A 15,863-nucleotide genomic window follows, 5' to 3' on the forward strand; every position below is an offset into this window, starting at 1 on the left:
CCTTATGGCAATTCATTTGTTTTAGTAGAATACCTTTCATATGTATACTTTGTGGCACATCTAGAATAAAAGTTCTGCCCATGAAATTGTTGGGTCGAAGGGTATTTAAAATTTCAGCTTTGATTTATATTAAATTGCCCTCTAAAAAATTCCTTGAAATGTCATGAATGAAGACCCTGATGTCACTTGCTACCAGGCTTCAGACTTGCTCAGACATGCCCAAGTACCACAGGGAACACCATAGAGGCCGTAGCTGGGAGCCCGGTAGAGGAAGTGAGTGGAAGTATGTGTGCATACACCCATGAATGTGTGTATGATATACATGACAGGAAGTTCAGGGAAGACCTGTAAGTCAATGAATTAGAGTCCTGCTTAAAGCTCTAGTGATGAGTAGAAGCATTAGTGGTTTGCATAAGGCTCTTTTACCTTTATTATTCATTAAAACTGGCAGTAAATAATAGGTTTGAATTTCACAGTCCTGATGCTAATCAAAGCACAGAGCATTTCTTAACATCATAAATTATTACCCTTACAATAGGAGCATAAAGGGAATTTGGTTTTATGAATTGCTAACTGGGACACTAGCCTCTGTTTGGCTCTTGGACTGACATAGAGGGAAGAGGGCTGGTAATCACATCACGAAACTGGAACACTGTCTTACAGGTTGGGTGGGGCACAGTTTACTCTCAGTTTCTTGTATCGTACCTACCTGAAGTTGGCTGGGATACCTGAAACAGCCCAGATTAAATAGGCAGTCATTGTCCACATTAGCAACAGCTCATGATGTTCAGAGGGAAAGAGATTTTTGTTTCTAAGTAGGAAGAGGGCTTTGCCTGTGGGGCAGGAGGCTATTTTTGCTACACCATCTTAGCAAGTTGGTGCTAGTTTTAGATTGTGTACCCTCCCCTCCCCACTTGATCTCATTTCCATCTGGTATGTCATATTTCTCTTCCTTCTCTCCACTCCTGCCCCCTACTAAGGTTTGCCTTTTTTGGGTGGATCTTTTCTTTCCTTGGTGTCTTTCTCCACACAAAGAAAACGCCAAGTTCGCCTCCCTTCCTTTTAGCATGATAGGGACAGAAAAAAAGAGGAACCTTTTATCTTTTTGCCTTTCTTTTCTTTCTTTCTCCTCTAGTATCTATCTATCTCCTTCCCCTATTTTTGTAGCTTTTGTGAACCCTGGTCATCCCTAGTGGGAAAGGCGGCATCTGTGCCCCTCTGCTTGACTCAGGTTTCCCTTCTCTGGGACGCCTCCCCAGTCCATCCCTGCTCTCTTCATTCCTTCAGTGACTTGTCTTGCTAGTCTGTTAGCTGTTTCTGGCCCACAGGATCCCTGCATGTCCCATACATTAGCTTTCAGTGCCTGCTTCAGCTGGCACTCTGAGTACAAGAGCTTAGAACCACCAAATCACCTGGAAAGAGAAAATGACTTTAAATAAAGCATTAGCCAAACACAATCATACTTTGTAACAAAAATTTATTAGGATTAAGTCAAATTAGAAAACTTCATGCTCCACCACTTGTCATATTTACCTGAAATGACAAAGTTATACTTAGCTTGAGTGTAAAACTTGTGCCCCAGAGATTCTGTTTGGAAAGCAAAAAAATAATTGATGCACATAGCAGTGTGCCTGATACCACCACAGTGAATGTTGTTTAAGGCCTAACAAACAGTGGTCAGCAAAGCATACATTACTTTTAAGCTTTGGGTCCAAGGAAGATGTCATTCCCTACCTCCTTCAAAAGCAGACTCATCATAGCCTGGGCACCTAGGCCTGGAGCCTATTTTTTCGAGTCTAATATGAACATCTGGATTTCAAGAGGTGCTAGGCTTGAGGTATCTTTATGGCTTAAAAGGCACAGGTCATGCAGCTGAATTAAAAGCTATCATGTTGGTCTCTGGAATGCAGGCCATGAGCCACGCCTTGTAAGGGGGAGACCTGAGGCCCTGTCCTTGGCTCCTCAGTGTAACCCACACATCATTGGCTCTGTTCCTCTCGCCCTGCTCCTGCACTGCTCATCAGCTGTGAATGCTGGAATTGGAGGACAGGTTGGGGCTCCTGCACAGTCTGCTGCCAGGTAGAGAGCAACACAGGCTGCAGAATCCTACCCTCCAGCATATCGCGGGGAGGGGGGGACCTGCTGCACAGCCAAGAAGTGACTCACATGCAGGCAAGGACGGGAAGGCTTGTTCTTCAGGCACAACGTGGTATGGGGAGAAGAAACCTGGTTTTCTTGGAATGGTCCTACTAAGCTTGAAAGTGGTGCTGCATTTAGGGCAGGGCACACCCAGCCATAGGCAACCCCTTTGAGCGATGGGAGAAGTAGCATAAGAAGGATGCCAAGAAGAACAATAGGTTCTTCAACTCAGTGTGGGCTCTGGGAAACCATCAGCAGTGGGTACGGAACACTTCTCTGGGCTCTGCCCTGGGGTCACTGAGAGCAAATGGGAGTCAAGTCCTCAAAATAAGAAACTTATCACTTACTAAATAGCTGGGCATTCCCTTCAGCTTAGGAGCAAAATGTTTACTCTCAGAAGCTTTCTTTTATTTTTAAACTCTCCTTAATGGAGGGAATAAAATCCAGAATAGAAGTGAAGGGCCTGGAGAGCCGCATTCGCAGCAGAAATGCCCTGAAGACCCAGCACAGCTGTCCCATCCTCCAGCAGCTAGACTCCTGATACCTCCATCCCCACCCCAGCCAATCCAGTAATCAGAATGGCTGCTGTCAAAAAACTAAATTCATTTGCATAATAGAGAGGGATAATAAAATCTCATTTCTTCAGGCACCAGAGGATCCATGTGACAAGGCTTTGATTCTCTCCAATTTATGCTCTTAATATGTTTTCCAGCCTCTCCCCTGTACTGCCTCATCAGCTTGGCTTGTATTCCTCAGTGAGTCTTGCATTACTTGTGATTACATCTGTACTCTTCATGCCAATTAATTCAACTGGGATTGACCCAAAGTTTGCTCAAGCTTGAGTTCATAGCCTCCCAGGCCGAGGTCTCCCTCATAAATGTTTTCCTTGCCTGGCGTCTGGGGTGAAGCTTTCTGGTCCAGACCTAGCCTTGCAGGAGGACTGCAGGGTGAGGAGGCTTGCTCCTGGTAATTTATGGCTAGTTCATCCTGGTTTACAATGCATTCCACATCATCCTCTTTTAGCTGTTCCTGGTTGGGAAAAGAGAGAGAGGTGTCACTTCATGATGAAGGCAGAAAACAATAGCAGTCCTACAATTTTTTTTTTTTTTTAAACAGAATGCATGTTTTCCTTTCTGTAACTGCCCTGTCTGGCCTTGGCTGATGTTTCTGCTGCAGGCATGGTACAGCCTTTCCCTGAGTCAGCATTGAATATCTGATGCTGTACAGCCATAAGGGGTCTCTAAGTCTGAGGTAAGAGGTGTTAAAGAGCATGGTACTTTCATTTCCTCTTTGGGTTAAGGATGTTTCCACCACTGGTATTAACTAGGGTTGACAGGAATTAGGAGTTAGCATAATCCTATGATCTCAGAATAGGGGAAGATTCTCATGTTGGTTTTGTAACATTCCTGCCTATCAAAAAATCCTTGAAACACAGTTATTGCTACTTTTTTTTTTTTTTTTTTTTTGAGACAGAGTCTCACTCTGTCATCCAGCCTAGAGTGCAGTGTTGCGATCTCAGCTTACTTCAACCTCTGGTCTCTGGGGTTCAAGTGATTCCCCTGCTTCAGCCTCGCGAGTAGCTGGGATTACAGGCATGTGCCACCATCACATCTGGCTAATTTTTGTATTTTTAGTAGAGACGGGGTTTTGCCATGTTGGTCAGGCTGGTCTTGAACTCCTGACTGCAAGTGATCCATTCACTTTGGTCTCCCAAAGTGCTGGGATTACAGGCGTCAGCCACCACGCCTGGCCTCCTGTTACATTTTACCTTAAAAGTGTGTCTTCTCAGCATATTTCTTGGGAAGAGTATCACAAGTCTAGAAATGGCTGGAAGTCACCATAGTGGATAATGCCAGAAGCTAACTGGATCTGGCTAATAATAATTTTTTCCATACAGAGGTTCCCTTGAAAGAATTAAGATCCCAACTCTTCCTCCACTGGCTTTGGGAAGGCCATACTAAACTACTTGTAGAATGGGCCCTTGCCGGGGGATTTTTAGGGCAGTGGTTTCCAACTTTCGCCTGTCCCAGGATCACATGGAGGGCTTGTTAAAATACAGATCATCGTTCAAGCTCAGGGTTTCTGAGGCGGGGCCTGAGAGTGTGCATTTCTAGCAAGTTCCCAAGTGAGGCTGCTGGTTTGGAGACTACTGTTTGAGAACCACTGCCTTAGGCTTCTGTGCCCTGAACACACCTGAGATAAGTTTTTGCCTGTGTACAGGGCTAGCCAGCTGGACACTTCTAAGGGTACTTGCAAACCTAAGACTGTGCTCTTCTCCAATTCCCTGACCTCTGATTTGTGAGTAATGATTCTAAGTGCCTCTCAGCATTTTTCATTCCACTCCCTTGAGCCATAAATCACAGGCCTAGTATTCAAAACCTCAAAACCTCAAAACACAGCAGTTTGTGAGGATGCTTCTTTTACATTTTCTAAGGTCATTTTATGGTTAAAAATATTGGTAACAATAAAAGAGAATAAGCCAACATCAGCAACAATTGACAAGAGAAATGCTTCCTAGTGCAGTGAATTTTTAAAAAATGCTTCCTCCTCAGGCCGGGCACGGTGGCTCATGCCTGTAATCCCAGCACTTTGGGAGGTCGAGGCAGGTGGATCACGAGGTCAGGAGATTGAGACCATCCTGGGTAAAATGGTGAAACCCTGTCTCTACTAAAAGTACAAAAAATTAGCTGGGTGTGGTGGCAGGCGCCTGTAGTCCCAGCTACTCGGGAGGCCGAGGCAGGAGAATGGCATGAACCCGGGAGGCGGAGCTTGCAGTGAGCTGAGATCACGCCACTGCACTCCAGCCTGGGCAACAGAGCAAGACTCCGTCTCAAAAAAAAAAAAAAAAAAAAAAAAAGCTTCCTCCTCAATCCTGCAAGTAGCAGGCTTTTTGAGGTTCCTGGGCTCATCGATATTCACCAAGTCTGTCCCACAAGGGATATTCCCTCACCCTAGAGGCCTGAGATTTACTTACCCCATAGGCTTGAGGACTGGTAAGCAGCCTGGAAATCGGACCACACCATTCAGGTAATGTTGTAGTCAGCGGAGGACCAGAGTGGGTTAAAATTGGTTTCAGATACCTGGGAGGCCTGTTAAGGAATACTTGTCAACAGGGAGTTAGGATTTAGGAATCTTACGCTGCACAAACCTTTGTATGCTGAGACAGCTACGTTTGCCTTTAAATCCCCTACTCCCTCACTTAGGAAGAAATTTGCCCTGCAAAAATTGCTGTTTATAATCTTTGTTACACATACTTTTCCAGCCTTCCTGATAGCCTTTATTCATGAAGAAATGGTGGATGGCCCATGCTGCATCAGAAGTGTAAATGTGCTCTTCCCATCCTATCCCCAACTCAATGTCTCATTTGCTTAGAGAATGCATTCTTAAGAATTACCTTAAAGGATAACATAAAAGATTGTATTTTCTTAAAACTGTACACACGCGTAGCTTAAACTGCCAGTAAGTTTTACAAAGATGCAAGAGGTATTTTATAAAATGTTCAGTTATTTTAGAGCTAGGTAGTGAACATAGATTGTTTTCCAAAATACTTACTTTTTCACTATTCAACAGTCACTTTAAACTTCATACATCAATGGATTTCTATACAAAATTATGTAAATAAGTCGGTGCTGGGTTTATTCTGTTGTCTAGCACCTGTCTTTCTCATCTCCTCATTCCAAAGTGCTCTAACAAGAGAAAAACTTGTTCATCTAAAGCCATTGTTTCCTCCAATCTATCAATAATGAAATCCCCAGAGCTGCCTCAGGTTGCCTTATTTTAGTTTTTTTGCTCAAAGGAAAGCAGTGGAATTATTTCAGCATTCCATCAGAAATGACTTTTAAGCTTTATATTACTTCCTCTGCTGGAGAGTATTTCACTTCATCAACTTTCCAAAAAGCTATAGTAAATAGGGAAAGGGAAAAAATGGAGAGGAGTTATCATTGGTTGGATCATGAAGATCCGCAGCTGTGCTCAGGCACTCAGGGCATGAGATGATCTTGGTGATGCCTCTGGTGGAGTCCATCCATAGCTGGATAATTCACATGCCATTCTCATGATACCCTGAGCATGTGGGCATAGAGGGAAGATGCAGCCCAGTGGAGGCTAAAGAATCTGGTACTTCTGGCTTGATGTATTTGTCACCAAAGCAGGCCATGCACCTGAACGAAGCCTTGTTATGATGCGAGGAGAGTGACTGGGAAGATGTTAGGAGGGCCTGCAATTCCAATTGCAAATAGAAAAGTTGATCCCTCCTTTCAGATGGGCAGCTGTTGTGCCCAGTTAGGTGAAGATATTAAAGTTCAGAGCCTGGTATTTGGTGTAATATCTTGTAAATATATCTACAAATCTGAAAAGCTCTTGATGTTCTTTTAATTTTCATTAGTGTTATTTCTTTCATTTTATGTATGAAGGAATTGAGGCCTAGAGATATAATTTTAAATAATCCAAAGGCTCCCTCTGCTATTTGAATCCTCCAATATCACCCCTAGAAGACAATTCTCAGGGCAGGGTCAGGGTTTGCAACCAGCTGGGTTTTCTGGAGAGCAAAGCACAAGATCTCGCCCCTGCTGGGGAGCTGCAGACTCAGGCTGGGGTACGTGATCTTTCTAGGGTTTACAGTAGGTATGGGTCAATAAAAATGTCTTTATGGAGGTGAGGTGGACAAGATATATGTACAACTGGAGTACAAATTAAAAAAAATCCAGCCAATTTTATTTCCAGGTGGAAGGATGGAAAAGTGACAGCAAGTAAGCAACATTTTTAGTGATGTCATGTTAAAAGAAAAAAAAAAGTTTGTCAAGGCTCTGAGCTTGAAAGAGGCCTGAGCAACTTCTGCTGAGAGGCTCAGCATACTGAAAAAGCCAAAATAATGTTACAAAAGTAAAATATAAGTTTAGGATTGTGTAATGAACACCCTTAAAAAATCCTGATGAGGTTATTATCTCTTTAAATCTATGCGTAGTAGTGCTCCTTTATTTATGGTTTGACTTTTTATGGTTTTAGTTACCCATGGTCAACCACAGTCCAAAAAAATTAAATGGAAAATCCAGAAATAATTCACAAGTTTTAAATCGTGTGCCATTCTGAGTTGAGTGATATCTCGCACTGTCCATTCCATCCCACATGGGACATGAATCATCCCTTTGTGCAGCATACACATACTGTCTACACTACTTGCCCCCTAGTCACTTAGTAGCCATTGTGGTTATCAGATCGAAAAAGCATAGTGTATACAGAGTTTAGCATATGTGAGGTTTCAGGCATCCATGGGGGTCAGGGAACATATCCCCAGCAGATAAGGGGGTACAACTATATAATACTATTGGAGTAAATGCTTAAAGGCTAAATGTGTAGCTTTTAGTGAGTATGAGGACTAAACTGAACAGTATCACTTGGCTCCCTCTGTGCAGGCTCCAGGATTTTGACTCAGACCCAGGCATAAATGCCAGCCCTGCCACTTTACTGACCATATGGCCTAGTTACTTATCCTCTGAGCCTCAGGCTTTGTTGTGAATATTGACTGAAATAACATATGTAGAAATGGTTTTAAACCTTGATATGCTATAAAAATGCTACTTACTTAAAAAACTGTCTGAGTAATGTTTTCTGGAGAAACCGGTGTCTCATTGTTCGATAATGATGGGAAAACGATACTGAAGGTAGAGATAAGAGCTTTGTGCTCCAGTCATTTGGTGTAGCACCCAGATTCATGGACTACTAAGTGAATGGAAATTTTAAGGTGGTTCTATACCCCTAAACAGCTATTTTTGTTAAACTTTATTGTTCAGGGGGCTAGCATGAGGTGGTGAGTGAGAGGTGGGTAGAATTAGTTGATGTAAGACTCTCCTGGGAATTACGTGGCATCATTTTGCCTGTCCTGGTATCCAAGTAGCTGTGAGTCAACTGAGGTATACTCTCTGTGGCTGTGAATGGGATACACAGAGTGTGGTCTGCAGCCATATCAAATGTGGAGCTGAGTCTGTTCTTCAGCATCTTGGTTTGCCCAGTGCTTGCTATATATTATGTGCACAATGGATGTTTGGATTTAGAATATAGGAAAATATTCAGGGGTGTATGAGAGATGGAAGTAGATTCAGAGGAACGGTGCCAGGGAAGAATGAAGGGGCAGATTACAGCCAACAAATGAGTTTTCTGAGTGCTAGAAACCTAAGAAAGGGGAAATCAAAGTTGGACTACTTGGGCCTGAGTTATCAGGTGGAGGGGACCTTAGGAAGAGTGGTAGTGGCATAAAATAAGGTGATTTAAAAAACCGTTTTCTTTCACTCACTCATTCATTTGTTCCATCATACACTCACAGGTTTTTGTTTCATGTGCCAAGCTAGTGAGGAACAGAGACAAGGCACCCATACAAGGAAAGGAACCATTACATTACAGAATAGAAAATTCCCTTTTCTCGAAACTGTGGTCTCCTGAAGGCAGTCCCCTTCACCTGGATACAGTGTGGCACTTCTTAGATACTTATGAAATAGTAGTTGAATTAATGAAGGCAACAGGCTCAGAGAAGGTAAATAAATTGCTCAATGGAAACTGCTGATTAGTTTACAGCAGAGCTAGGCCTGAATTCAGGGGCTCTTCTACCACACTGAGCTATCCTTCTTCTGTTACGAAGACACTGAGTAACGGGACTTGCCTAATTGGATAACCAATTTGGAATTGGGGACTTCCTGAGTTCTTCATTGCTGAGCAATGTCTGGAAAGTGGCTGGATCTCCAGGGTTACCTGAATTATTAAAAGGTAAGAAAACTCTTCTATCTATTAAAAAAAACCCAACGGCAGATTTTGCAAAATGTGTTATTTTTCTCATCAGCTTCCAGAATGGGGAGGGAGGTTCCCCATTGGGTATTTTTAATATGACTAGTTTTGCTTCTCTAATAAGCTAGAAATGCATTGAGACAAAAAATGTTCAGCTCTTGGGGAAAAACAATGACTTTTCTCATCTTTAAAGGGCATAAGTTTGAGAATAGCAGTATGGTTCAGGAGACATAAGTAAAAGCTGGAACTCTACCCAGAATTTAACTTGCGTGAAATAGGAAAGACAGTTAGCAAGTGCATTTTCTCCTTTGGTCTGGGCTAACAGCAGGTCCAGAGCTAAATTTGGTGTTTAACTGAATAATATCCAAAATACCTGGTGACATTGATTGATCTTTTGTTGTTGTTTACTTTAAATCATCATGTTTTGTCCATTGTATGTTGCTAAAACCAATGGGTACACAGCTTAAGCCTATGGCTTGTATGATGTGGCTTTGCATAGGTCAGTGAGAAGCAAAAACCCCAACGATCCAGCTCCACAAATGAGCACCTGCTCCTTTGAAGGACTAAACTCCATTGCACCTATGTGGACTGAATGTCTGCATCCCCCCACCCTCTAACATAGCTAGGGTTATGTTGAAGCCCTAGCCCCAGTGTGATATTTGGAGATGGGGCCTTTGGGAGCTAATCAGGGTGGGGCCCTTATGATGGAATTAATACCCTTATAAGAAGAGATGCTAGGGAGTTTGTTCTCTCTCTCCCTCTTCCCACCTTCCACAAAGAAGAGATCATGTGAGACCATAGCAAGAAGGCAGCCATCTGCAAGCCAGGAAGACAGCCCTCACCAAGACCTGACCACTCTATTCTTCCAGCCTCCAAAACTGAGAAAATTTCTCTTGTTTAAACCACCCAAGCTATGGTATTTTGTTATGGCAGCCCAAGTAGACTAAGACATCACTTATCTTGGGCCCTCTTTAAAAATCTTTACTTTTAGAACCCTGTGGAGCTGTGTTCTATTTTTCTCTGAACTTGCCTCATCATGAAAATCATCTAGAACGTTTGTTAAAAATTCAGATTTTAAAGACCTCTCTTGGAGATTCTGATTCAGCAGATCTGGGAAGTAAACGAAGACACTGAATTTTCAGCAATCATCCCAGGTGACTGATCAAGTGAATTTGGAATTCTCTGGAGTATTGCCCTCCCATATGAGATTCAAATCTTAAATAGTAGACAATGTTCTTTTTGTCTCCCTATGTCCATAAGCCATCATTTTTAGGGTGAGGACAGGTATAAGGTAAGCCATAATCCCATTTGTCTCTGAACCCAGACATATATAATGGTCTCTGCCAGTTGTTGCATCTTGTCTAAGGGCTGGGATAGATACTTGACTCAACAAAATGAATACTCAATGTTATACTTGGGAGTGGATTAACAAATGATCATATCTCAGCTTGTGGAAGAAGACTTTTTGCCCACTGGGAGCATTTGCAAGTGTTTATAGACTTGATAAATGGTCTTGTTATAAGGGTAAAATGCTTGTCAGCACACAGCTGTGTGAAGAAGGAAAGCACATTTATCTCCATATCTCCATTCAGGAATACTGTACCCTACACCCTTTCATTGATATAGCATTTCCATATGTCTTATTTTCTCTTTACACTTGTAATTGGGTACTATAATCCCATTTTACAGATCAAGAAATCTGTAAACAGATGGCTTTTCTATTCCCTTCTATTCTTACTAAGATCTGGACACTAAAGATTGCTACATACTGTGGGGTGCTGGCAAATGGTTTAACAATTGACTCTCTGTTGGGGAAGAAAGGCTGGATTTGTAGCATTTCCCAATTTCCATGGTGTATAAATACTCCCACTACGGCTAATTTCAAGCTACTGACACAAAGTTACTGACTCTGGAGTTGAAAAAAGTGTACAAACTGTTGGTGTGAACTGGCTTCACCATGCCACTGGTTATAGATCTCATGAGTTCTTATGGATATTTCCAATTCAAATATTTCTGTTTTTCAAGGACACAAAGAATCAAATGAGAATATTCCACAATGATTCATTTGCTTTCTCCTAGATCACAGACACAACCATCTCAGAATAATACTGATAATGCTACCATAACAATTACCTAAAACATTAAAATATTTTTGCCATATCCTTGCATTCTGACCTCCCATTTACAAAACTCCTGCAGTATAACTATAGATGGTTGTCATATATTTATATTGTCTGGACATATAGCCATTACAGTCTATATTGTTTCCCTCTTAACTATCATTTAGTCCTAGCTAAATGATCAGGTGACTACTGATCTCATGCCTACCTCCAGGCCTTTTGTCAATTTCTCTCTAGTCACTTTGATTGTCTGAAGCTTGTTCTTCAGTAGAGTTCTCAGCAAGGGTTCATGGGAACAATATTCTGAGGTCTTGTATGTTGATAATAGTTCGTGCCTATTTTGAAAGTCATTTTGCTGGAAATAAAAGCATTGGCTTATACTTTGAGCACATTAAATGTATTTTATTTCTTTTGACATGCAAAGTTGTTCCTGAAAAGTTTAATGAACTTGTGGAAACTTTCTTTCTACCACAAATCACATGCTTCCCCCTGCCCCCAAGATGCCCAAAGGACTTTTTCTTTAAAGTTCATTAATTTTGTTAAAACTTATCTAATGTCGGTTGTTCTAGGTTGATGTCTCAGGTACATTGTGTGCTCTTTCAATGTATAGTTCCAAGGGTGTTATTTCAAGCTCGTTTTTAGGAGCATTCTATTTCCTTGCTTTGCGTTTCTTCTTTAGGGACTCCTATTCTCTAGATGTTCAATTTCTTAATCTTCAATATGTGTCACTTTCTCTTGAATTATTTTTATTTCTGATTTTTTTCTTCCCCTTCACCTGGTATTTCTCTTAAGATATCAATTGTGTTTATTCACTTTCCTATTCCTTCTAATTTAGACTTGATTTATTAAATGACTTTTTCTATTTCTAGAGTTTGTTTTTCTAATTCTTTCATGTCTTGTATCATTTTCTTAGTCTCTTAACTTGTTTGATGTAATATGTTATAATTTTGATTTGTTTTATGAGCATGTCTTTCCGGCATGTTTTCATTGTTTGTAGGAACATTATTCTATTCCACACCCTCATTTTTCTTATAATAGCTCTGTTATAGGAACTGACCTCTATTCGTTTCTATTATTCACTTTTACGTGAAATTCATTTTCCTAAGAGAATGAGGCAGGATTTAGAAAACTTTCTAAGCTTCAGAGTTCTCTCTTCGGTTGTTTTTTCACAGTGTGAAATATGGCGGTTTGCATGATGAGCTTTCCTGCTGTTTCCCTCCCCAGCTGATCTAGACCTAGTCTGTCTTTCCCTTGTCTCTACTGACCCTATCCTGCTCAATTCTAATTCCTCCAGGCAGTTTCTCCTCAGTATAGGGCCCTGTCCTAGGAGGGAGCCCATGTGGATCCATTTTGAAAGCTCTCAGGGGCCTTGACGACTCCAGCCTCTGTCTACCTTACTGAGACCATCTAGTTACTACTGTTAGAGAATGTGATAGCCCAACTCCAGTTCTAAGGATGTTTTCAAAAACATTCCAACTATACTTTTCAGGGAATACCGTTGACTAATCTTCAGGTCCATCCGATGCTACTCCATTGCTTCCTTTTTCCTGCTGCATATACTTGTGGTATTGGTGGTTTGTCTCTGCCCACTTGTAATTTTAGATTTGCTGTAAATGTGTCTCTGGGTTTTTGGTTTTGTTATTTAATTGTTCTGCCTGTTTCTATGTAGGGATTTGGAGGGATTGAAAGATTATGCTTGTGATGTCAGTGCCATCTTCTAGGAATTGCATTTTATCTGATCTTCTATCTTTGTTGATTAGTAAAGTGTCTAGCATATTACCAAGGAATAGGAGAAACATGATCTAGGTAGATTTTGATATTGTTTTCTGTAGGGGCTTCTTAAGCTGACTAGGAACTGTCCATGAGTCAAACAATGTAGCTTAGAATTATCAAAATGAACAACCTATATCACAACTCCTATATGAGTCAGATGATATCTGAAACCATGGTTCTTAACCTTCCCTGGCTGTAGAGTTTTGTCTAAAAAAAAAAACCTCCAAAAAAACTGCCTACATGCATGTTATTTGCATACAATTTCACATGACATTTCAGAGAGTTTTCAGATGCCTTGAAACCCATCCATAAACCCCTAGAGACCTGAGTTAGGAAACTCTGGTCAGGGATGATTAAGTATTAATAATGAGGGCAGATTAAAGGCTGATAAAGTGGTATGCTTAGTATCTTAGTGGTATTGGGAGTTGGTTTTAGCAATGATATCTATAGCATCTACCTATCAAATGTTAAGATAACTCTACTTGGCTCCTCAGAGCCAGCCAGGCAATCAAGGGACAGAGAAAGGGCAGTGGAGTTGGTTGGAAAAGTTAAAGGAAAGAAAGTGGTTCTAGGATACCAAAGCAACCAGCTTAAGTAGGGCAGATGGACACAAGATAAACAAGGGGCCATATTGGAATCATGAGGCTGGAGGAAACCTGAGAGTTCATCTGATCTATATCCTTGGATCTTAATACAGAAGAAAGTCGAAACCCAGTGTTTCCCTAAGTGTAGTCTCCCGACCAGCTGCATCAGAATTTCCTCTTGTGCTTGTTAAATACCATTCCTGGGGCCTTGAAGCTAATATCCTTGGGCAGGACCTAGTAATCTGCATTTCAACAATGCTCTGAAAACCACTGGAGCAGAATGGTATCTGGTCTCTTGAAAGGCTCTGAGTTGGGAAGTGTTGCATCTATGAACTGCATAGTGCCATGGTAACAATATAAATTTTACCACTATTAGGTCTTTATAACTTTTCCCTTTGGACACACAGATCAAAAGATTTCCAGGGATCTTTGCCACCTACCAGATACAGATAAAATCCATTTGTGCCATATGGATAGTGTTACATTTGGCTCAAGTTGTTTTGAAAGAAAACATTTCTGGCGAAGAATGCTGCTGCCACTTGCATAGAGTGAGCCTTGGCTTTTAGTGGCTTTCTGGTTAGAGGAAGTGCCACCAGACCTAGATGCCCTCTGTTAGCTTGTGGTGACTTTGACAACAGGCCTTTGAAGGTCACTTCCCTGACAATTTGTTGGAGAAATGAACTCTGAGAAGCAACTGTGCTCCTCCGTTCCAAGTCTTCTCTCTGGTTTGGGGAAAAATTTCCACTTGATTTCTGCTCCCAACACTGACTGGATGTAGTCCTATAAGCACTAGAGTTTTAGCTAGCTACCCCAGAGCTCACACTTAAGATAAGGGTGGCAGCTCATCCCATACTCCCTGGGGCTGGGTCCCCCGCTTGGCTCCCAAAATGGAGTGTGTGCCTGAGAATGATGGTATCCAGCTTCATCCATGTCCGTGCAGAGGACATGAACTCATGGGCAAGGATCCCAGGGAGATGCATAATCATCTCCTGCCTCTGAAAAGATAGGAACCATTATGTCTGCACCAGCAACTGCAGTGTAGGCCCCACAGGTTCGGATTCTCAGAGCACTAAGTCAAAGAGGAAACTACCTTCAGTGCTTACACGGGGAGGAAGACGGCAAACACAAAACGCAAAGGGCTGGGGGTCTAGCTGCTGTGACTGCTGCTCAGTTTGAGCCAAAGTCTTCAAAGCTTTATGCCTAGATTTTTCTCATTACTAAGGAGATGCTAGATGCTGTGTTAGATCTGGTTTGGTAATTATTTGGAGATTGTAATTATTTTGTCTATTAGTTTCATAGGGCTGCCATAACAAAGTACACAAACTGAGTGACTTAAAACTGCAAATTTATTGTCTCAGTTCTAGAGGCTAAATCCAATATTTCTGAAGGCTCTGAGGCCAGCAATCCTTGGTGTTCCCTGGCTGGTAGACGCATCGCTCCAATCTCTATTTCTGTCTTCACAGGGTGTTCTATGTCTTGACATGATCACCTTCTTACAAGCAAACCAGTGATGTCAGCTTAGGGGCCCGCCCTGTTCCAGCACGACCTTGTCTTAACTACATATATAAGTGAACCTATTTGCAAATAAGGTTGCATTTGAGGTACTGGGGGTTAGGACTTCAACATGCCTTTGTTGGAAGAAACAGTTCAGCTCAGAACACCTTGCTACTTCTAAGTAATCCCAAGTTTTCTGTATTTTTTTTAATTGTAGCAGTTAAAAGACAAGCTGAGTTTGAAGCATAGCTCTGTACTTATTATCTACAAGTAGGCAAACTTCCTGAGCTCTTTGACCACAAAAAATGGAACTAACTAACAGGAGTGGCCTCATACAGGAGAAGATATACTTTCTAGCACAGTTCTGGGCACATAATAAGCATTCTATAAACGTTAGCTAACATTTTTTTCACTGTGTCCCTTGAGTTACAGGTTTCAGAGATATATTTCAACCATCCCAAGTCAATTTACTAATATAACACCTTCCACATGCCCTGCAGTGTTCATAACATTCTTCTTCTGGCTTCTGGAGCCCTAGGAAAAATATTGCCAAGTTTTTCCCTGAAGGTTTGCTTCTCTTCTCAGAGCAGTGCCCCACATAGAGGTACCAGGGAGGCACTGCTCATTGTTTCATGACTGATGTCACAGTTTCACAGCAAGATTTCAAGTGAGAACTTACACAATTAGGGTCCTGCCATAGGAATGACCCATGTTTCCACACAAGTGAGGTGTTTACTTAGAAGGTGGGTGTCTTCATGTTGGGCATCAGATTTTTAAATTTTTTTATTACACTTTAAGTTCTGGGATTCATGTGCAGAATGTGCAGGCTACATAGGTATACACGTGCCATGGTGGTTTGCTGCATCCATCAACCCGTTATCTACATTAGGTATTTCTCCTAATGCTATCCCTCCCCTAAATCCCCCACCACTCAACGGGCCCCAGTGTGTGATGTTCCCCTCCCTGGGTCCATGTGTTC

General features: G+C 41.8%; 1 protein-coding gene across 3 annotated transcripts in view; it reads right to left on the reverse strand.

Moving 5' to 3' along the window:
* Positions 1,461 to 15,863, reverse strand: part of SLC9A9 (solute carrier family 9 member A9) — a 583,247-nt gene continuing 568,844 nt past the window's right edge. For all 3 annotated transcript variants that reach the window (XM_017006203.2, NM_173653.4, XM_011512703.4), the window contains 2 exons: positions 5,114 to 5,219; positions 1,461 to 3,168 (listed from right to left, as the gene is read on the reverse strand). In XM_017006203.2, the coding sequence (XP_016861692.1) occupies positions 2,941 to 3,168; positions 5,114 to 5,219 (334 nt within the window). In that variant the 3' untranslated portion in view covers positions 1,461 to 2,940. The remainder of the gene's footprint in view (positions 3,169 to 5,113; positions 5,220 to 15,863) is intronic.

This window comes from Homo sapiens, chromosome 3 (assembly GCF_000001405.40).
Source record: "Homo sapiens chromosome 3, GRCh38.p14 Primary Assembly".
Taxonomy (NCBI): Eukaryota; Metazoa; Chordata; class Mammalia; order Primates; family Hominidae; genus Homo; species Homo sapiens.